General features: G+C 34.9%; 1 protein-coding gene across 1 annotated transcript in view; it reads left to right on the top strand.

Moving 5' to 3' along the window:
• Positions 1-15482, top strand: part of TRDN (triadin) — a 420612-nt gene extending 405130 nt beyond the window's left edge. The window contains exons 39-41 of the mRNA NM_006073.4: positions 7690-7728; positions 10299-10334; positions 13081-15482. Coding sequence (NP_006064.2) covers positions 7690-7728; positions 10299-10334; positions 13081-13220 — 215 coding nt within the window. The 3' untranslated portion in view covers positions 13221-15482. The remainder of the gene's footprint in view (positions 1-7689; positions 7729-10298; positions 10335-13080) is intronic.

Genomic DNA, 23148 nt, shown 5'->3' with positions numbered 1-23148 from the left:
GTCCCGGACCCTAATTTTGTTTTAAGTCATGTAGGCTTTTACTGTTTCTCCTCTAAACCATTGCATTCACTCCCCAGCAGGCCCTTTTCTGACTTGTCATTCTTCCTTTTTATGTCCACTGACATTAAATTTTCCAAACTTTAAAATGATTGGGCCATATATGTGAGAAACACTGACTATTTCTTCATTGTAAATTTGGAATAAATTCTACATTTCTAAGCCCAGGAGTCTAGGGCCTCTATAATCCAGGTATAAACTACATTAAAATTTTTTGTGTGTGTGATCATTTTCTATACCTATTGTAGGTGCTAGCCCAATTGAACATTCTATATTCCTAATACTGCTGCCTCCTAGATTTGATCCCATCATTCTCTTTTCCTGAACAATTCTTTGTACCTCTAACAATGCAATTCATTACGATTGTTCAAAGTCCATCACCAGTGGAAGAGTGTCCATAAAAAACTTCTTTGATCTACGTAAGAGGAATTGACCATTTCAATCTTGAAACTACCTCGCAGTTATACTATCAATTGTCATATACTATCTCATACTTCAGAGTCCCTTCTATTTGGTTGGGTACTTTTTCATTTTCTCTATATGGGTTTGTAAATTACTTCTAAGTAGCATCCTATTTCCTTTTGGTTCCTCCAGGGCACAGAGCAAAGTGCTTTGCAAGTAAAGATAGAATAGTTTAGAGGAAAGAGTGAGGGTCTTGATGTTGAGGAAAGTTAGCTTCATGCCTTCTTTCAACACTTTTTAAAATGTGTTGCTGCAGGGAAGTTCTTTTCAAATACTTTGGGGCTCAAAGTTCTCTTGTAAAATCAGATATTTTCCCCATAATTCATAAGGGTATTGGTGAGACTTAGGTTAAAACACATGTGTAAAATCTAGTACCTAGTAGCATACCTGGCACAGAAAAATATCTCATTGTAGTTCTCATAGTTGTTGCTGGAAAAGTAACTTTATCTTAAATGAATAAATCATAGGAAACCTTCAAGGTAATATTCACTTTGACTGTAAAGCTAGACTGAAATTTTTAAAAATCTGTTTATGATTTTACTTTTATAACATAAACACACAGCCTACATCACAAAATATACATTATGAATTAATCTTTTGTATGAAGAAGAAACTGAGATTCCAACCATCTATGAAAAATGCTATGAATATGTTTCTAGTAAATTGTTTTGCAAATATATGATAAGGGTGTTGAATATATTCCAATTATCCAAATTTAGAAGTGGTGGTTTTATCATTTTTCTTTTTATTATTATTATTATTATTATTATACTTTAAGTTCTAGGGTATATGTGCACAATGTGCAGGTTTGTTACATATGTAAACATGTGCCATGTTGGTGTGCTGCACCCACTAACTCGTCATTTACATTAGGCATATCTCCTAATACTATCCCTCCCCCCTCCTCCCACCGCAAGACAGGCCCCGGTGTGTGATGTTCCCCTTCCTATGTCCAAGTGTTCTTATTGTTCAATTCCCACCTATGAGTGAGAACATGTGGTGTTTGGTTTTTTGTCCCTGCGATAGTTTGCTGAGAATGATGGTTTCCAGGTTCATCCATGTCCCTACAAACGACATGAAATCATCCTTTTTTTATGGCTGCATAGTATTACATGGTGTATATGTGCTGCATTTTCTTATTCCAGTCTATCACTGATGAACATTTGGGTTGGTTCCAAGTCTTTGCTATTGTGAATAGTGCCGCTGTAAACATACGTGTGCATGTGTCTTTATAGCAGCTTTAATTTCAATTATGGTAACTATTGATAGATATAATTCATAAAAAATATTTTGGGGTCTTTAATATTTTAAGATGATAAAGGAATTCTGTGAAGAAAAAAGTGAAAGCCACCGCTCTAGAGAATAAAATGTAGAACCAAGATAAGATTGCTTGCTGAGAATGAGAAATCTGCATTTTAGTATAAAATTTGCGAATTCACTTATCAAACCTACATAATTAAGAATAAACATAATTATATACCATACCTACCATTGGTGCTGAGGCTGGACTTTACATTTTCTCATATACTTGGAATTTTTATCAGCCAATTGTAATTAGAGTCCATATTTATTAGAGTCCATACACACGCAGTCTCCTAAATACCAACAGATCAAGTCTTTAAATCATCTGTGTCTTCAACCTCATAGAACCAAGTCCACCCTTGACTCCAAAGAGATGAAGACTTAACACCTGAACCCTGTTAAAAATCCCATTGGCCATGAAACTTTTTTGACCCATGGCTGCAGAACAGTATTGGAGATAAGTAAAAACTTTCAGGCAGAGAACAGAGGTAATTTCTTACTTTTTCAGGCATTCCACTTGATCACAGAATAACACTTTTCTTAAGTGTAGAAACAGACAGTTATGTGAAATGAAGCAAGTCATGGATTTAGGACAAAGGAGAAAGTCCTTCAGTTAACCAGAAAATACAAGGACTACTTGACCAAACAAAATCCAGGACTTTCTATTGTAAATTTATTGATTTTTAATAAACTGATAGCTATTTAAGAACCCTTGTGTCAGTAGGCCCAATTAAATAAGTATTGAAGAGTTATACAAAACCTAGTCCTTGATTAAAATGACAGCCATACAGACAAGATGGCCCATTTTTTCATGACTCTATTATAGTGCAGACAACTGCTTGGATAGGAGGATGGATTCACTGCTATCTCTGATTCCTCTGGAATCTGTTTCTATGTAAGCGAAGAATGAACTCTAGAATTTGAAAGTCAAGATAGTACAATTTTATTCTTCAATGTTAGAAATAACTGTAGCTTACACTACTTATAATGTTTAGGCAAACAGAAAAAATATTATGCTTACCTCTTCATTGTCTTTATTTTCAAAGACAACTAAGTAACTTTTCATCGCCACTGAGGGAGAGTAGATTGTTAGAAGTGCAGAGGGACACATTTAGCACCCCCTCTCATTTTAAGGGGGTTAGTGGAATGCCTTCTCCTTCATTTCTGTTCTGCACAAGTGTGTGTGTGGCTCATGCATAACTTGACTCTGTCAGAGCCTGCCAGCAGGTATGTTAGGCAACATAATGCATGGGTACTAGAATCAGAGAGAAGTGGGTTTAGAAGTTCATCCTCCAGAGGCAGTGATATGGTTTGGCTGTGTCCCCACCCAAATCTCATCTTGAACTATATTTCCATATCCCCACATGTTGTGGGAGGGACCTGGTGGGAGGTAATTGAATCAAGGGAGCAGTCCCTCCATGCTATTCTCACAATAGTGAGTACGTTCTCAGGAGATCTGAGGGTTTTATAAAGGGTTTGTCCCCTTTGCTCAGTTCTCATTCTTCTTCTCCCTACCACCATGTGAAGAAGGACACGTTGACTTCTGTTTCTGCCGTGATGTAAGTTTCCTGAGGCCTCTTCAGCCAGGCTGAAATGTGAGTCAATTAAATCTCTTTCCTTTATAAATTACCCATCTTGGGCAGTTCTTTATGGCAGTATGAAAACAAACTAATGCAGGCAGAATGGCTTAGTGATTAACAGCACCATCTCTGGAACCAGAATGCCATAGTCTTAAAAACCAGTTCTTTCACTTCTTATAGCTCTGAGACATTGAATCTCTCTGATTTTTAATTGTCCCACCTATAAAATAGGAACAATAAGAGTATATTCCTCACAGATATTCTGAGGAGGTGAAAAGTGTTAACATTTATAAAGTGCTTAGAACAGTGGCTGGCACATAGCAGGTGTACTATTCATGGGATAAATTTCAACACTCTTTCAAGAGGCCCTGATATAGGAGATTTGGATTATGTTTAGAACAGTGGCTGGCACATAGCAGGTGTACTATTCATGGGATAAATTTCAACACTCTTTCAAGAGGCCCTGATATAGGAGATTTGGATTATGTTCTTGTTCTGTCTCTGCCACTCATGAGTTTTGTGACCTTGGGCAGGACCTCTCTCTCCTCTATTTGTACAGTAGATTCAGTATAAAAGTCCTCACCTCGGAGGTTGCAGTGAGCCAGGATGGCGTCATTGCACTCCACCCTGGGTGACAGAGTGAGATCTTATCTCAAAAAACAAACAAAAACAAACAAACAAACAAACAAACAAACAAAAAAGTCCTTGCCTCATATGGTTGTTGTTCAGGATCAAACGTGTTAACACATATGAAATAACTTAATAGGGCCTAGCATGTAGAAAATCTTAAGAAATATTAACTATTTTGCAAAAATTAAAAGTGATGATCTCACAATTTACTGAGTTTTGCCCATTAACTTGATGCATATCACTTCTAACCTTTTCAGACATCTTGCCAGCTCTGTCTTGTTTCCTACTAAGCATTTGCAACTGCATGACTGGCCTAGCACCACAGTTCAACCCATAGAGAATTGAACTTTTCATTATCCCCAGCAAATATCAGTGTCCCCTAGGGACTTCATTGTAGTTGGGAGTGGCACCACTGTCTTTCTCCAAACTCAAATAACATATCGTTATTTTCCTTATAGTACCAATCTCTTGTTCTTACTTGTATTTAGTTCTATTTCATTCTTTTGGCAAAGCCTTTTTTTGTATTTAACTCCTTCAGTGACTCCTACTTGGAGAATGTACTATTTCTGTGCTATTAGAACACTTGCCAAATTGCATTCTCTGCATTCATTTTCTCATGCTCTAGTCTTATTTATTTCTACCAAGTACATCTCTAAAACATTATTTGTCTCTTGAGCAACCTTGACTAGCTATGAAATTTAGTTGAGGGTACTTAGCCTGATGTATAAGATGTTCCACATGATAATCTTATCCAAGTTTTCCAGAACGTCTCCTCTACTCCCTGAATATCTCTGTCCTTCGCTGTCTCTAGCCTTTTTTCATATTGTTGCCCTCACTTTAATTTTGGCATCTCCTTCTTGAAAATATTATAAGTCCCATTTCAAATTTTACTTCCTTCATTAAACATTTTCCTGACAGTCCGACAAAGCAGGTCACTCTTTAAAATTTCATTGGCACATTTTGACACTCCTTTCACTGCCATGATTCTACCTTCTCAGAGTCAAATATTTGTTTTATCAAAACTACCACTCACTCAACGTGCAAGTTGTAAGAATAAGTAGACAGTAAGTGCCTTATTCCTTTCTTGAATTTTATTCCTAGTTCTGTAAATGTTTGCTGCTAAGTCTCTTCCACAGAAAATGCATCTCTATAGCAACTGTCCTAGGTTTGCCGTTTACTTTCTTGTGCTTCTGTCTCCTGAGCGATTGACATGTGACTCAGCTCTTGCCAGCTTTTGTCACTTATAGCCAGTTGATGCTGGATCAGAATATAGAATCTGAAGACACTGAGGTCTTTATTCCTTCCATTTGTATTTATTTTTCTAGTGGTAATAAATGGATCCAAAGAATAAGTTTCAAGTGTGCTATAATCTACAAAAATAAAATATATGTTCCTTTTGGACACGGACTTTGCCTCATTTTATTTTTGTACAGAACTTTCATAGGAATTAATAGGACCTTATTACACAATTAAGATATTATTTGATTTGTTTAGGAACTGACATCATTTTTAAAATATAGATATTAAGTTATTTCACAACATCATATAACAGTTTGTACTGTTTCATTATTTATAGCAGTTGATTAAGCAGTTCAAGACCATGGTCATTTTATCCAGTATTTAATTGAGTTAAACCTATGTTTAAATATTATTTACAACTGACCAGATCAAAAGTTTAATAATATATAGTAAAAAAAATTCTAGTAATTTTGTTTCTTTTTCTGTTGTGTTCTTCTACATAATAGCATTTTTCTATAAAGGTCACATTGCTTTCCTGTTAGACGAAATTTGCATACTGACCCTATCTTACCCCTTTTTCATTTATTAGTGAACAGTTAGTATGCAAAATCTAAATAAATAAGACAAAACTGACCTTCTTTCAGATAATTTCAAATGTTAAAAATTAAAGCATCATTCCGTTATATTGCATTAGAATTGCCTCAGACTTAAAATTACTTCCACATTATTCCAATATGTGCTTGTAAGTTGAATGCAGAAAAGACCAAGTGATTTACACAATACAACTTAAGAGTCATTGTGTATGTATTTGAGCTTTAGTTCAAATGTAGTGTCTTCCTTTCCCCACTAATTTTATTGAGATATAAGTGAGAAATAAAAATTATATATATATTTGATATACAATGTGATATTTTGATATACATATACATTATGAAATGATTACCAAAATCAAGCTAATTAACATGGCCATCACCTCACGTAGTTACCACCATTCTGTGTGTGTGTATGTGTGTGTATGTGTGTGTGTGTGTGTGTGTCTGTGTGGTGAGAACATTTAAGATCTACTCTCTTAGAAAGTTTCAAGCATACAATATATTTGATAAATATTTGGATATATACCCAGAAGTGAAATTGCTGGATCATATGGTAGCTTCTTCTTAAATATGTTGAGGATGACTATTGTCTAGTGGTAAAATAAATAAATAAACAAACAAATTTTTGAGGAACCTCCATACTGCTTTCTATAATGGCAATACCAATTTACATTCCCATCAAAAGTGAACAAGAGTTCCCTTTTCTCTTAAATCCTCACCAGCACATCTCATTTGACTTTTTGATAATCACTAGTCTAACAGATGTGAGGTAATATCTCATTGTGGTTTTATTTCATTTCATGATAATTAATAATATAAGGCATCTTTCCACGTGCCTGTTGGTCATTTGTATGTCTTTGGAAAAGTGTCTGTTCAGATCCTTTGCCCATTTATTTGTTTTTTGTTATTGAGTTGTATCAATGTCTTATATATTTTAGGTATCAACCTCCTTTGGATATATGGCTTGCAAATATTTTCTCCCATTTCATAATTTGCCTTTTCATTTTGTTCATTGTTTCCTTTGCTGTACACAAACATTTTAGTGTGATATAGTTCCAATCGTTTATTTTTGCTTTTGTTGCCTATACTTTTAGTGTCAGATTCATAAAATCATTGCCAATACCAATGTTAAGAAGCTCTTCCCCAGTGCTTACTTTTAAAAGTGTTTCAGTTTTACATTTAAGTCTTTAAATCCATTTTGAATTGATTTTGGGGTGGTGGAAGATAAAGGTCCACTTTCATCCTTTTGCATATAGATATCCAGTTTTCCCAACAGTATATATTGAAGAGACTATCTTTCCCCCATTGTTTATTCTTGGTACCTTTTTCAAAGATTAGTTGACTCATGTATGTGCATGGGTTTATTTCTGGGCTTTTTAGAATTGTCAAAAAGGCTAAAATCTAATCAATCTGCTAATAAATTGTGTGGGTAGACACTGATCTCTTTATCTAGGCTGTATGCGTGAAACCATTTACCTTAACTTTCCTAAATTCTATAAATGATTATGATTTTTGAAAGGAGCTTTAGGAGTCAGAGGAGGAGGGAAACCTGGGGGTGGGTGTTGGAGGTCACCACAAGCCTTTTCCCTAAGTAACCTTTACCAGCCTGATTACCATAGTGCAGCACTCATCATTTTCTCCACATCCTCTCTCCAAGTCAGAGAAGTGCCTGTTTTGGTCAGACAGCTCTTATTTATGGAGACTGTAGATGCTGAGTTTGTAGATTCAGGGATCTTGTGACTCTTAAAAACCTTTAAATACAATACTTCCTCTGGGAAAACTGAAAAATTGACTGTGATTCTATGTGCCTTTTTTCTGTACTCTAGAAGATGTTGAAGATGTACCAGCTTCAAAGAAAGCTAAAGGTGAGTTTGCTGTCTTTGGATCATTTACAAGTTTTCTCTCAAAGCTATAAGGTTTTTGTCTGTCTTTTTTTTTTTTTTCCTAGCTATTCTTGATCTAGTCTTAAGCTTTTCTAGGCAACATTTACATGGTAGGCTTATTTTTAAAGCAAACAGCTTTTTAACATTATTTGGAAAATATACATCTTTTCACATATTAAAAACACTAGTTGGGTATTGATTTATTTACAATTGTCAGATGCATTTATTTGCCAATCTACAGGAATAATACTTCAAAATCACTATTCCATTAAGAATTACAAGAATGCCATGATTTTATTAAGAAGACTTGAGATGAGTCACCTATATTAGCAGCACCATCAGGAAGGAAGGAAGGAAGGAAGGAAGGAAGGAAGGAAGGAAGGAAGGAAGGAAGGAAGGAAGAAATGGAAGGCTGGACTCAACCCCTGCACTCTTCCAGCCCAAGCCAGAGGACAAACAGTCAGGAAAACCTGCGATCTCCAGATGTACGAACTTCATAAAGTATTTCCAGGACAAAATTTCTCCATCTGTAGAATGAGGGCTTCAGCTAACTTGATTTTTTTTCTGAAAGGTTCCTGGCTTTTTCATTAGGGCTGCTATAAAATAGGCATTATGTTAAAAAGAAATGAACTTTTACTTTAGGTTTAGGGGTACATGTGTATGTTTGTTATATAGGTAAACTCATGTCATGGGGGTTTGTTGTACAGATTATTTCATCACCCAGGTATTAATCCTGCCATCCATTAGTTATTTTTTCTGATCCTCTTTCTCCTTCCACTCTCAACCGTTGGGTAGGCCTCAGTGTCTGTTCCTCCCGTCTTTGTGTTCATGTTTTCTCATTATTTAGCTCCCACTTTAAGTGAGAACATGCTGTATATGGATTTCTGTTCCTGCATTAGTTTGCCAAGGATAATGACCTCCAGCTATATCCAGCAATGGGATTGCTGGGTTGAATGATAGTTCTGTTTTTAGCTCTTTGAGGAATCATCACACTGCTTTCCACAATAGTTGAACTAATTTGCACACCCACCAACAGTCTACAAGTGTTCTCTTCTCTCTGCAAGCTCCTCAACATATGTTATTTTTTGACTTTTTCATAATAGCCATGCTTACTGGTGTGAGATGTTATCTTATTGTGGTTTTGATTTGCATTTCTCTAATGAGTAGTGATGTTGAGCTTTTTTTCATACGCTTGTTGATTGAATGTATGTCTTCATTTGAAAAGTACCTGTTCATGTCCTTTGACCACTTTGTAATGAGGTTGTTTGCTTTTTTCTTGTAAATTTGTTTAAGTGCTTTATAGATCCTGGATATTAGACCTTTGCCAGGTACACAGTTTGCATATAAAAAAAAAGTATTTTCTCTTCCACTTCTAAATTTGTCTGCAGGCAATAAGTATTTGCCTAAGCATTGTTCTAGCCAACGAAGTATAAATTCTTTGCCAGTGCCCAAAATTAACCAACAATGTGGAAAATAGTGCTTTGAGAAAACACACACAGGTCAGGACCTTATCAAATAAAAGTTGAGATTTACACTTGTATTAAGACACCTTTCTGAATACTATATTTTATATATATATTTTTTAAATTGAATTAAGACTAGCCACCCTAATAGGTTTTTTACTCATAGACCAGTGCTTCTAAAACTTTAATGTTTATACAGATCAACTGTAGGTCTCCCTAGAATTAAATATCTGAGTTAGAACCTAAAAATCTGCATTTATATAAATAAATCAATTGATGCTGAAACTAGTGGTATATAGATTACACTCTGAGGGGAACCGCTCTAGAACCAATTGAAAAATTGATAAGATCTGTAAACCTAACTTTCTATGAAACACACACACTAACACACATGTACACACAAACACACACACACACTCTCTCACAACTTCTAATTATTTCAATGTTTTATAGAAAAACCCCCAAAACCCCATTCGTGGATACCAGTTAAGAACTTCTAATCGGAAGAAAGGGATTCAAAGAAATAGTTTCAAGCTATGCAACACTACATAAATTTGCGATGGATATTACTACAGCAAAAATAAATAAATAGTCAGTGAATCAGACGTGAAAAGGGAAGAATGCAGGATACTGGGCTGCTGCTCTACTTTCATGGCAAGGATGATCACGAAAAACATATGTCCCTCCAAATTTGGGATTATTTTGACTAAAATGTTCATCTTTAGCCAGATTTTACCCTTACCAAATTGTAATTCTGAGCATCAAAGATCCCTTCTCAGGAAAGGGATGCATGTCAACTATCCTCATTAATGAATATCTGACACATCAGGGCCAGTTTTCCTATTTAAACAATTGTTTGTAGCGTGACATTTTTTTCATGGGTTCCCTTTCTCTCTCTGGCTCTTGCCTATTAAATTTTACAGTGAAAATATGAATAGAATCTGTGTACAAATCTGGAGTATACTATAAAAAGGGTAACTCCTGTTTCTTTCATAGTGTGCTTCTGTTTAGACATTCTCAGTCCCATATATATTTATATAAAAGTTGTAAATGTACAAGTTATTTACTTTTATATTTTTTATCCACTAGAAGGAACTGAAGATGTGTCTCCCACAAAGCAGAAAAGTAAGTTTATAATGAGATTAAAAGTAATAAATCATTCTGTATTAAAGATGCTACATCTATGTAAAAATGTTAGACTCTCTTAAGACCAGTATTCGAAGAAAAAATTTTTTAGCATAGACATGAAGAATAACATTAAAGTAGGTCATTTATATTTTAAAAAGAAGCGTATCACTTTTGTGTTAGGCAAGAGGCAGATAGTTGGAAGAGTTACAAGTAATGGTTGAAGTGGCATTTATCGCAAATCCTTCTACATATTTCTGATCCTTAGTACTCTGGCTGAATCTATGCTTAAATGTGTCTTACTGCCTGCTTTATAATAGGACAGCTGAAGTAATATGCCAAATTTTTTTATATCAGGTAGAAAAAATGAAGAAATAGGTTTTAGCAATTCAATTGCTTGGAAACTCACTTCTAAGATTCAAGATTCTTTTTGATTTTGCTAGATGTATGGTAGGTTCTAAATATTCAAACTTTGGGATCATTTATTTTAGAATCCAATCAATATTCATGTGCAGTTACAAAATTCAATGCCCAAGTTTCTCATTATTTCGGTTCTTCCAAATTAGACATTTTTGTTCATATGGTAAAGCAATAAATTTTAAATCTGTATTTGCATTAAAGTCATTGCAGAACAGAATAAAGGAAGCAATTTTTGAAATAGGTATAACTGAAGTTTGTGTCACATAATGCTTTTAAAGTAAAGAGCTAGATATTTGTCTGAAGAAATGACGTCTCTTGATTCTCCAGTGCTTTTTGGATGTTTTTGTGCAGGAAATTACTAAAGTGCCCCTTACAATAGCAAATGCCTCCTACTCTGTATTAATAGGTGATTCATTAGACAGATACTGAATGCCTACTATGTTCCAAGTACTTCTTTGGATGCTGGAACTACTGCAGTAGATAAGACACTTATTATAATCCTTCATATAATAAGGTTGTGAGAAATATAGGGAAATAAGCAGAGTCTTATGATACTTTGAGTAATATTACAAAATCCATAAGAAAAAGAATTATAGGTCAATCTGGACATATTTTCATTTTATATAGCAACGCTTTCCCAATTATTAACCTACTGGTAATAATTTGTGGCTATGTCACATAAACATTTGAAATCTCATATATTTTAAATAACTATTAAAATATAATTCAATGAGACAGGTGAATTGTATCAATACCAGTTTCCTAGTTGGAATATTGTTCTATAGTTTTACAATATGTTACCATTGAAGGAAACTAGGTGAAGATATGTGGTATCTTTCTGTATTAACTCTTACAATTACATGTGAGTCTACAATTATTTCAAAGTAAAAATTTTAATTAAAAACAAAACGCAAATACTTTTAGTAAAATGGTGTCAAATATTCTAACCTCAGTTGGGGGATCTATTGCATCAAAATGATATTTGCTATCTTCGTCTTACAAGAAGGCAGTTCTATAGCCTGATATTCATGAGCCTTTAATTTAAGCTCTAATATTTGCAGTCATAATAATATTTTAATGAGTAGCTTATTCAACATCAATTAAATAAATGTGTCAAAACAGTGTCCACTTCTGATAAGCAGCTGGAAGGCAGCCTGTCATTGATGGGCCCTTCTACTTTTAGCAATGGATTTCCATTTCTCCTTGTGCAGGGCCGGCTTTACTACTGTCCCTCTTGTAGCCTGCCTAACCCCCAAGCTCCCATAACCTCCACAAACTTGAAGAGACGGAAGTTGTATTATTGCTTCGGTTTGAAGATAGAAGAAAAGAGAAATCATTCCAGATGAGATGCATTGGAAAAGATAACTAAATTCAAGATTCTTCAAACTATTGTCATCCCTGAAAACCCAGTGACCCATGGAAATGGAATCAGAATACTCCCTGGTTGCTTCTCCAGCTTCCTTTTTTCCTATCCTTTGCTTTATTCTACTTCATAAACCCCTAGTCTCATATGGATTTGGCCATCTTCTTTATCTCCCACACACCACTAGCTTTAACTATGATTTTTCTTTCCTGGCCTTCTGCAAAAATCTATGGCTGGTTGACAGAATGCAAATGGATAGGATAGAAAACACTGGAAGTTTGTAGGCACCCAAGATTGTGAGGAGATGCTAAACTCGCCATCTTTTACCAAAGCTGCTACCTGGGAGCACCGGCTTACTGAGTCCAGAGTCCTTACTTGCACCACACTCCCTTAACTTTCCTGTTTTGCTTTCTACTCAGAGCTGCTACCTGGCTGCTACCTTTGTTGCTCAAAGAGCAACCAAGCCACCTTAGGAAAGCTCTTGCCTCTAAAGTAAGGGCAAATAAAACTTCTAGATGTTGGCACCACCTCTCTGTGACATTATAAAACACACACACACAGTCTGTTGCTTTGCATATTGATAAGCTCATATTTTGAAACCTGTGACTATGTCTCTATGATTGCTATGCACATCAACAGATGTCTATATGATCAGAACTTTGACTTTCTCTGCCAGGCCATTTTTATTATCACTTATTAAAGGCTTATTACATACCAGGAAGAATTTTAAGAGCACATGTAACTCATGTAACTCATTTAACTGTCATAATATTTCTGTGCGGTTTTCGTTGTTTTGATGTTATACATAAAGACTCCAAGACACAGTGAAGTTTAGTAACTTGCCAACAGCTACGGAGGCTGCTGGCAGAATCTGTGACCTTATCTGCTGCACTGCACTGCCTCACTGTGCTTTTTTGCTCATGTTCTGCATGTTTTAACAAACTGTCATGCTCTGTTCCTTAGGTCCCATCAGTTTCTTCCAGTGTGTCTACTTGGATGGGTACAATGGCTATGGATTTCAGTTTCCTTTCACTCCTGCAGACCGCCCTGGAGAGAGCTCTGGTCAAGCAAATTCTCCAGGACAGAAGCAACAAGGACAGTAAACACACATGTATGACCCTTACAAGTGCTTTAAGATTTTAAAAATGTGATGTTTTGTCCACAGTAGTTCAGGCAATTAAGAATATGCAACCCAGAGAATTTCTGTGAAAACATTTTGCTCTTTGGCCTGGTGTGGACGGAAAGGGTGGCCAAATGGATTGAGTGATGAGCAGACATGTTTAAGGGTCTAAGTCTCAAGAATCTGTTATGTGTGTTTGCTGCGGTGGGAGGGGGTGCTTGTATTTATCTTATTTCCAGTCACTATAAGGTTGTACACAAACTAATTTAAAGTTTACTTAATAATGGTATCTTTAAAATAATTGACACAATTGCAAAATGAATTCCTGGCTTCAGTTAGCTATTATTTTTTTAATGACAACATAGACTGTGCTCTAAGTTTAAAAGATGGGGAAGCTTATATAAAAGTGACCCTTTTGCATCATATGGGTATCTAAACTTAATTTACCCAATAAGTTGATGCTTAATGATTTTATTTTATTTTTGTCTATTTCTATTTTAGTTGTGGCTTTGCTCTAAGAATGGGTAATAGTTGTACTACAGACTGCTATAAATTTCTTGTGATACTCTTTTAGAGCTCAAAATATCTCTGAGCTTTAGACATGGTAAGGTGGAGAGTAAATGCTTGATAAATCTTTAAGATATGTCTTGAATGATAATTAGGACATTCAGTCCAGTGGAAATACACCATTCAATTAGTCAGGTCTGGTGAATCGTTTGTTTAAAATATTAGCAAATGAGATGTGGAATTCTGAAATTTCTCCAGACTGTGTCTTAATAAAAATGTCACCTGGGTGAAATTTTAGATCAATCACTAAATTTGGGTGACAAATATAAAAATATTTTCATTTCACTTTAATACATTCTTTCTGTGAAGTAAAATGTTTTTCTTTCTCATAATGGCAAAATATGAATGCCATCAAAGTTTAAGGAATTCATTTTAGCCTTAAATGCCTTCGTGAGATGTCTTACTTGTATTTTAGGTAACTGGTCATCAGTGCCAATGACATGGATAACAATTTTTAATCTACTCGACAGTGCATCCCTGGGAATGACTGTTATGTTTTTGTCATATTCCTGGTAATATAAATACTCGTGTTCTTTACTACATTGTTTTTATCAACTCTAAAAGTCATGCCTCTGTGACCTTTATCATGTTTACAATTGCAACTGAACTTATGACAAATTAACTCAGGAAATAAATTGAGTTATCCTTTCTAGCATTGTAATTACCATCAGCAAGGCCTGAGATAGCCAGAGCCAATACTAGCCAAGTGATTTATTTTCAAGGATTGCCACTAACTACGGTTCTTTAGGACCAAGATATAAAACAGTCACTAAAAATCATTAGGCTAGGTATCAGTAATACATTCATTACTAATAATGCATTTTTGGAGACTTTTGTGAAAGAAGTTGGTCTCTGCCAAAAGCTGGTGGACCACATTCACACCACGAAAGCCAGTGTCACATGAACCAGATTAATGACTCTCTTTATGGGGTATGTGGGACATCCTGGAAGTGTATAATTTCAGGAATGACCAGACAATACCATCTTGCAAAGCCCCTTCAGGTGACAATCTAAACTTGTGGGTAGGAGAGTGCATAAAGTTTATTGCTCAACTGCTCCTCCAGCCTGCTGAATTTACTGAGTAAAGAAATAGCAAATATGATAGATGTTTTAGATTTCATAGAACAGAATGGTTTGTCCATTAATTCTTTCATTCAATGACTGTTTATTGAATACCTACTCTTTTAGGGCGCTGTGTTAGGTGCTGTATTGTACAAGAAAAATATAATAAATTAGATTCCCAGCGCTATTCTGACATAGTGAATGACCTTGAAAAATTTACTAAACATACTATGTTTGTTTCTCCATGAGTAAAATAGGGATATAGGGACAAACAGTCTAATATCTCATAGAAATACCATGGAGACAAATAAAATATTTTAATATAAATATGATATTAAAGTAAATTTCTGAAGTAATACTTTTGGGTATGGCACTAGTTTTTCCTCTGACTATTTTACTGTTTCTTTCACTCTCAATATAAAAACTATTTGATAAGATAAAACGATATATTTTATTGTAATTAGAATTTAGACAAATCAGCTATAATGTAAAAATGTTAATAATAATTACGTTTTATCTGATTAAAGTTACAATGATCATAGCACTTTAAAAATATTATCTGAACTGTCATTTGTTTATATATTACCGTCTAATAAAATAGTTATAGATCTTCCAAGTTTGATGCCTTACATTTTAAAAGGAAAAGATAAATGGTTGATTAAGAATCTTTGTCTTTAATGGTTCATTCATAATTCAAGTTATACTGGCCAGGAATATGTAAGCATTTCATAATTGTTTTAGTTATTTTGCACAATTGGTACACACTACTCCCATTACATCCCTGCGTTTACCCACCCTTCATCCCCTCTTAATAGATAAAGATCTGAAAATAAGAATCGATTTTTCCTTAGGTTTTTGATTTATATTTAGTTTTCCTAAAGCCTGATAAATCATTATTCAAATGGGGCAAGTGTTTTTTTGTTTCTTTTTTTTTTTTAATGAACCCTAGCAAAAGCACCTGTATGTTGACTCATTCTGGCATATCTTTTCAAAACCTTTTAACTTCTTGCAGAAATATTTTAGAAACTGGTATTGTGATACTGTGTATTTTAGAGATTTAACTTGTACCCTTGAGTAATTTTTCTGGAGAAAAAAGCAAAGGAGATAACAAATATTGCTGATAGAAAACTCAGTGACCATATAAGCCAAGTGGCACATACAGAAAATGAAACTAATCCTTAGAGAAACTTGAAAATTTGCCCAAAGTAACTGACTACTTCAAAACCAGGCCTAGAACCTTGATCAGCTAACTCCCAAATGTTCTTCAGTTTTCAGGGTGTTATTACAAATATTGACTTATTTTTCCAGTATCCTCAAATCCATCTTGCAAATTATACTTGGTGATAGACATGTAACCCTCTATGAAAAGACTTGTCTTTTTTCCTACTTGAAAGCTGAAAAGTGCCTTAAGAGTGTGTTGCATTCAATTGCTTTACAGTAAAGAAAATAAATGTCAGAGAGGTTAGGTGGCAGGCCTAGAGGCACATTGTTAGTAAGCAGCAGAACAAATGCGATTGAAAGCTCGAATCTTTTTCTAATCCTATTCATATCCTTCCTGCCCTTTGTAACTCCATATGATATCGTCACCATCATAAAAGCTTCCCTTTGTTACTTGCAAACTAATTAAGAAATAGAAACTCAGCACGACTTCCCAGTAGCTGGCCTCCTTGCAGCATTTTTTGCCCCACTCCTTTCAGGATTATATCAGCTCTATCCTGTACCTTTCCTTTCCCCCTCATTAATCATATATGTCCATGAAACATTTAGTTATTACTGTAGATGCTTTCCTTTGTGTGTAAAATAAAGACCTTTATTTTCCCAAACTATCCAACTATTGAAAAATCATTAGTCGTTAAAAAAAATGTGGCCCAAATAACAAGAAAGCAAAAACAACTTTTTTAAATTCAGCTTTTCCGAAGATTCAGGTTAATAAAATAAGAAAGACAAATAATTGTAAAACACACTTGAACTCTAAAGAAGAGCTCAGAATAATTGATGAAGTGAATTATTACATATTAGTATTTGAGTCATACAAGTTCCAGTAAGAAACACATGTTATCAAAGCAATGATAGCAAAAAGAAGGAAATTCTTAGTTTCTCATACAGCCACATCCAGCTCCAGGCCATTTGCCCTCTGCAATATCATCAATTCACTTATGTATGCTTCTTGTTGAACTATTAACATGAGTTAAGTACTCTAACTAAGTCATTAGAACTATTTTTTACCCACCACAGCTCAAATTCTCTTAAATAACAATGGTAGGTAGGTAGAACACTCCATGCCTCTGAATAGCTCTGTCAGGCCAGATGTCTTTTCAGAACAACCGTGCTGTGGTGGAGAGCCCACCGGATGAGGAGTCCACAAACCCAAGGTCAGACTTTAACTCTAGGAGTAACTCTGGTCATTTATCTTCTCTGTCCTTCAATACTTCATCTCCAAATGAAAATAAAAGTGCTACAGCAGCAAAAGGACTTTCATCTTTGGCAAGGAATATTATGGAAATGTACCTTGTAAAGTGATACTATTGCTAAGATCTTTCAAATTTCCTTCCAGTTTTGTTATTAAATGATCCAAATGCAACCTGCATTTTAGACCTAGTGTTGCCAAGTGGAATTAGCCAAAGCGGCGAATAAAAATCAGAGCTACACGAACCAAATACAAAAATGGGAACATTACACTGACAAAAACAATTTTGCACTTAAAAAATTTAGTTTTGTGTCATTTTCACAGAGTTGCTATAAATCAGTGACAGCAGAATATCCTTCAACCCACTGAATCAGAACACATGGACCATGTAAGAGGCCTGTGGAAAAGTGATACTCTGAATGAGAGCTGAGACGGAAAAGTGACTCATGTACCCCAAGACACCGCCAAGGGTTGAGCACTCACTAAAATGTCTGAAGGTATTCCAGCAATCTAAGTTAGTGAAGGTAGTGTTAAAATAAATACTAAAGGAAGCATCTCAAAACATTAAAACATTTAGTGTATGGTGTTTGCTTAGGAAAAAACATCTCTCCCTCTCTCTCTCTCTCACTCTGTGTGTGTGTGTGTGTGTGTCTCAGTGCACTCACACACACAACTCAGTGAGAAACCATTTAATATATTTGATGCAAACATGGGCACAGATGAACTTATCTAAATGGATGATCTGAATGGAAGGTGCATTCTTCGCAAAGGAAGCAATGCTTTATAGAAAAGGGAAACACAACTGCATTCTAGCAATTTTGAGGAACAATGTAGCTAGCAAACAAATTACTTTCATCTTTGGAACATACATGTATCAAAGAATATTTTTAAAATTAGGAATATATTAACTTTATTCAATATCAAAATGGTATTATAAGAGGACACGGAAAGTGTCCTTTCACCTCATCTCTGTTGCCTCACTTTCCCATTCACTCCTATACTTTCTACGGCTAAGCACATTTATAGGGTCTCATGAAAATACAAATGGAAACAAAAATATATTCTTATTGTTTATTTTTCTTACACAAATGTTACATATTACAAGCATTATTCAGTGCCTTCTTTTCTTAACCATGTATCCTAGATTATTTGTATACAGGTATATACAAAGTTTTCTCATTTCTACCAATAGACATAGATACAGATATAGACAGATCTCATACCCACAGTGTAGTGCACACATCTCAAGTGTAGAGCCAGATACATCTATGAAATCACAACTGAAATCAAAATGTGGGACATTAACGGCAACCCAGAAGCCTCATTCATGCTTCACATGGTCAATACCCTCAGGTGAACCACTGTTATGATTTCTATCATTGAAGAACTGTTTCAATTGTTTTGACTTTCATATGAATGAAATAGTAAATTACATCTTTTTTGTACCCAGTTTCTTTTCTCAATATTACACCTTTGAGACTCATTCATTTTGTTACATGTAGAAGTAATTTTTTTTCTTTTTCATTGTCTTATATTACCCATGTATGCATATACCAACAAATTTATTTATACATTCTACTATGTGTGGTAATTCACACTGTCTCAGGTTTTTGTCTATTAAAAATAACACTGCTTTAAACAGTCTGGTTAGTGCCTTTTACTGCGTTTATGTGTGTGCAGAGTAGGGGAGGACATTATACACATGAGTAGAATTACTGGCTTATCGAGTATGAGAATGTTCATCTTTAGTAGATAATATCAAACAATTTTCTAACTGCTTGATATGGTTTGGATGTTTTGTCCCCTCCAAATCTCATGTTGAAATGTGACCTCCAGTGTTGGAGGTGGGCTTAGTGGGAGGTGTTTGGGTCTTGGGGGTGGATCCCTTATGAATGGCTTGGTGCTGTCCTCACAATAATGAGTGAATTCTCACTCTTAGTTCACACTAGATCTGGTTGTTTAAAAGACCCCGGTGCCCCCTCCCTCCCTCTCTTGCTCACTCTGTCACCATGTGACACACCTGTTCCCCTTTGCCTTCCACCATGATTGGAAGCTTCCTGGGCCTCACCAGAAGCTAAGCAGATGCTGGTGCCATGCTTGTACAGCCTACAGAACTGTGAGCCAAATAAACCTATTTTCTTTATAAATTCCTCAGTCTCAGGTATTCCTTTATAGCAATGCAAATGGACTGATACATTGGTTGTACCAATGTATACTCTACTGACTGAGTATAAGTGTTCCAGCTGCTCCAGATCCTTGCCAACACTTGCTATTATAAGTTTTGTTGATTTTAACTTCTGATGGGTAGGAAGTGGAACATCATTGATCTTATAAATTGGATTTTCCTGATGACTAGTGATACTGAGACACTTGTGTTATGTTTATTGATTATTTGGATATCCTCTTTTATGTAGACTCTGATTAAGCTTTTTGGACTTCTGTTAATTAGATTTTTGTCTTTTTAAAAATACGGTCATGGGTCTTTAATGATGAGAATACATTCTAAGAAATGAGTCATTAGTTGATTGTGTCATTGTGTAAACATCACAGAATGTACTACTTACAGGAATCCAGATGGTATAGCCTACTATACACCTAGGCTATGTGATATGGCCTCTTTTTCCCAGGCTACAAACCTGAACAGCATATTACTGTACTGAATACTGTAGGCAATTGTAACACAATGGAAAGTATGTGATATGGTTTCGTTGTGTCCCCACCCAAATCTCATCTTGAATCGTAGCCCTATAATTCCCTCGTGTTGTGGGAAGGACCCAGTGGGAGATAATTGAATCATGGGGGTGGTTCCCCCCATACTATTCTCATGGTATAGAATAAGTCTCATGAGAACTGACGGTTTTATAAGGGGAAACCCCTTTCCCTTGGCACTCATTCTTTTCTCTTGTCTGCTGCCATGTGACACGTGTCTTTTCCCTTCCACCATGATTGTGAGGCCTCCCGAGCCATCTGGAACTGTGAGTCCATTAAAACTCTTTCTTTTGTAAATTGCCCAGTTCTCGAGTATGTCTTTATCAGCAGTGTGAAAATGAACCAACACAGTATGTATGTATCTAAACATATCTGAGCACAGACAAGGTATATTAAAATACACCATTACAATCTTATGGGACCACAATTGTATATGAAGTCTATCATTGACTAAAATATTGTTATGTGGTACATGACTGCATAGGGATTTTTAATATATTTTCATTACAAGTCTTTAATTAGCTATATGTGTTATAAATGTGTTCTCTTACTCTGTGGCTTGTAACTTTACTCTCTTAAATCCATCTTTATCAGAAACTTAAATTTTAAAGTAGCCCAATTTATCTTTTCCTTTATAAATAGTGCTTATTAAGCCCAACTTAAGAAATTCTTACTTATCTTAATGCCATAAAGATATTTTCCTCTATGAACTTACAGAAACTTTGTTTTACCTTTCACATTTAGGTCTACAATCTGGGTAGGATTCATCTTATGTATATAAGGTGAAGTAGAAAAAGTCGACTTTTTCTATATGAATATATAGATAATTCAGCACCATTTACTCAAAAGACAATTTTTTTCCACTATGTTGTAAGGGTTCCTTCATTGTAAAAGAGATAAATGTTATATGTGTGAGTCTGCTTCTCAATTTTCTTTTCAGTTCCATTGGTCTATTTGCCTATCCATGTGCCAATACCACATGGGTTAATTATGGTAACATAGCAAATGCTAATAACAGTAGTGTTACTCATCCCAATTTGGCTTCTTCATAATGGTTTTCATTGTCCTTTATTTTTTAATATTCTTTCTTGCACATTGTTTTTTACTTCATTGATATTTGCATTTATACGTATAAAAATAAACTTTGTCATTTTCCCTGCCTTCCTAAAATAAATGATTAGATTATTCATTCTTATTCTTAATTCTTTTTCAACATCTGCATTGAAGTGTATATGGTGTGTGTGTGTGTATATATATATATATATATAATATTTTACTCTAAAGTCTGCCTTAGCATTTAACACATTTTATGTCACATTTTGTTATCATAAAATTTAAAATATTTTCTCATTTTCATTGTTGTTTTTTTTTTTTTTGGTTCCATGGGTTACTTAAAGCATATTGCTGAATTACAAACAATTTTTAATTTGCTAGCTATTTTTTCTGTTTGACTTCTAGCTTAATTCCATTACATATTTTCAATTCTTTGAGATATGCTGATGCATTCTTTATGGCCCAGAATATGATTAATTTAAAAATAAGTGCTGTATACTCCTTGGCTGATTAATAAAATATCTGCATTACAAGGAATCTATTTCTATTATTTGGTTTTGATCCTTTTTCTTTCCTGCGTTTGGTCTTATTTCATACATTACTTTTTAAAATCCTGAAACATTGTAGAGGCCCTGGTTGCAGAATATTTAATTTTTTTCTGGCAGATAGATAGACCATGAGCAGATTGCTTTGATACAGTTGAGTTTGAGATTCTAGCTGTATTAGGGCTAGTTTATTTCCCAGCCTTAGAGCAGTTACTCCTAGGTTATTGCCTTTCTGTGTTCTCAATGAAAGCTGGGTTGTTGACCAGGTCATCTCCACTCTAATGAGACCTGAACTTCATTCTGTATTACTACAGATTGCTGAATGCTGTGCTCCAATCTTTAGCCTCCTAGATTATCCACTTTATTTGATTTCTTGTGTCTTACCCTACATATGGAAGATTGGGAGTAAGCAAATGCCTTTGAGAAAAAATTGCATGGCAAATGTGTTCTCCAGAGAATTGCATTCTCTGTAGTCTTGAACCCTTGAGTTTCAACCACTTTGGCTGCCAGAACTCCAACTTCTGTCTTGCCAGCCCATAGAGGCCACTGAAAGATTTAGCTTGGCCTCCATTCCTCATTACGTAACTTGTCAAATCCCTCCAATGTACAAAACAGATGAATATGGAACTCACCACAGTATATTTCCTTTCTTCTCTAGAATTTTGGACTCTTGATTCTTGGCTACTATACTTGATTTTTGATTCCTTGAAATGGATTCTTTTTTCCAACTAGCTTTAGTAATTGTTTTCAGCAAGAGGATTAGTTTGATAAAATTACTGCATCATGCTTGTAAGTAAAAATGGTTCTCATATTTTGTTTACAATTCTATAGGATTTCAATGTATGGATATACCATCATTTATTGAACTAGTCCTTAATTATACAGACTCTTAGGTCATTTTCAATTATTTTGCTATTATTGACAATGTTGCAGTGAATAACCTTGGACACTATCACATGTATATACACACACACACACACACACACACACACACAAATATATAAGGTCAAATTCATTGAAGGGGCATTTTCAATTAAAAAATATATGCATTTGTAATGTTATAAGCTGTGATCATTTGCCAATAGCATCCCCAGTTATTGCTCCTTTTAAGGGCCCAGAGTTGCTCACAACAGTCAGCATTCTGATGAGGTTTTCTCCCTCTGTGAATGAATGTTCACTGTTGGATTTTGAGATCTTCCAATCTAGGGTCCTGCCACATTCTGTAATTCTGAACACTGTTTGCGACTGCCCATGTAGGTTTCATTGGTATCATTTATTTTGGCTGCGAATATATATATATAGTTTTGACTCTATGTTTTGCTTCCAAGTTTTGGTGAAGATACATGCTTTTGGATCATTTTTTGTTTGTTTTGTTTTCTCTGTTGTTTCATGTAGTTTCCAGAAAGTGTCAACATTTAGAATTCCACAGCTGGCATATTTCCATTAAAGTGAGAAATACATTCATTTAAAAGATTAAATTGAATATTTTAATAACTGGAAATTTGACAACTATAAATGGCAGTAATACCAGTCTAGTGATAAGTTTTTGCATGACTGAAACAAAATAT

The sequence above is a fragment of the Homo sapiens genome, chromosome 6 (assembly GCF_000001405.40).
Source record: "Homo sapiens chromosome 6, GRCh38.p14 Primary Assembly".
NCBI classification, from domain to species: Eukaryota; Metazoa; Chordata; class Mammalia; order Primates; family Hominidae; genus Homo; species Homo sapiens.
The sequence above is the reverse complement of the archived record's forward strand: the minus strand, read 5'-3'. Positions and strand labels throughout refer to the sequence as shown.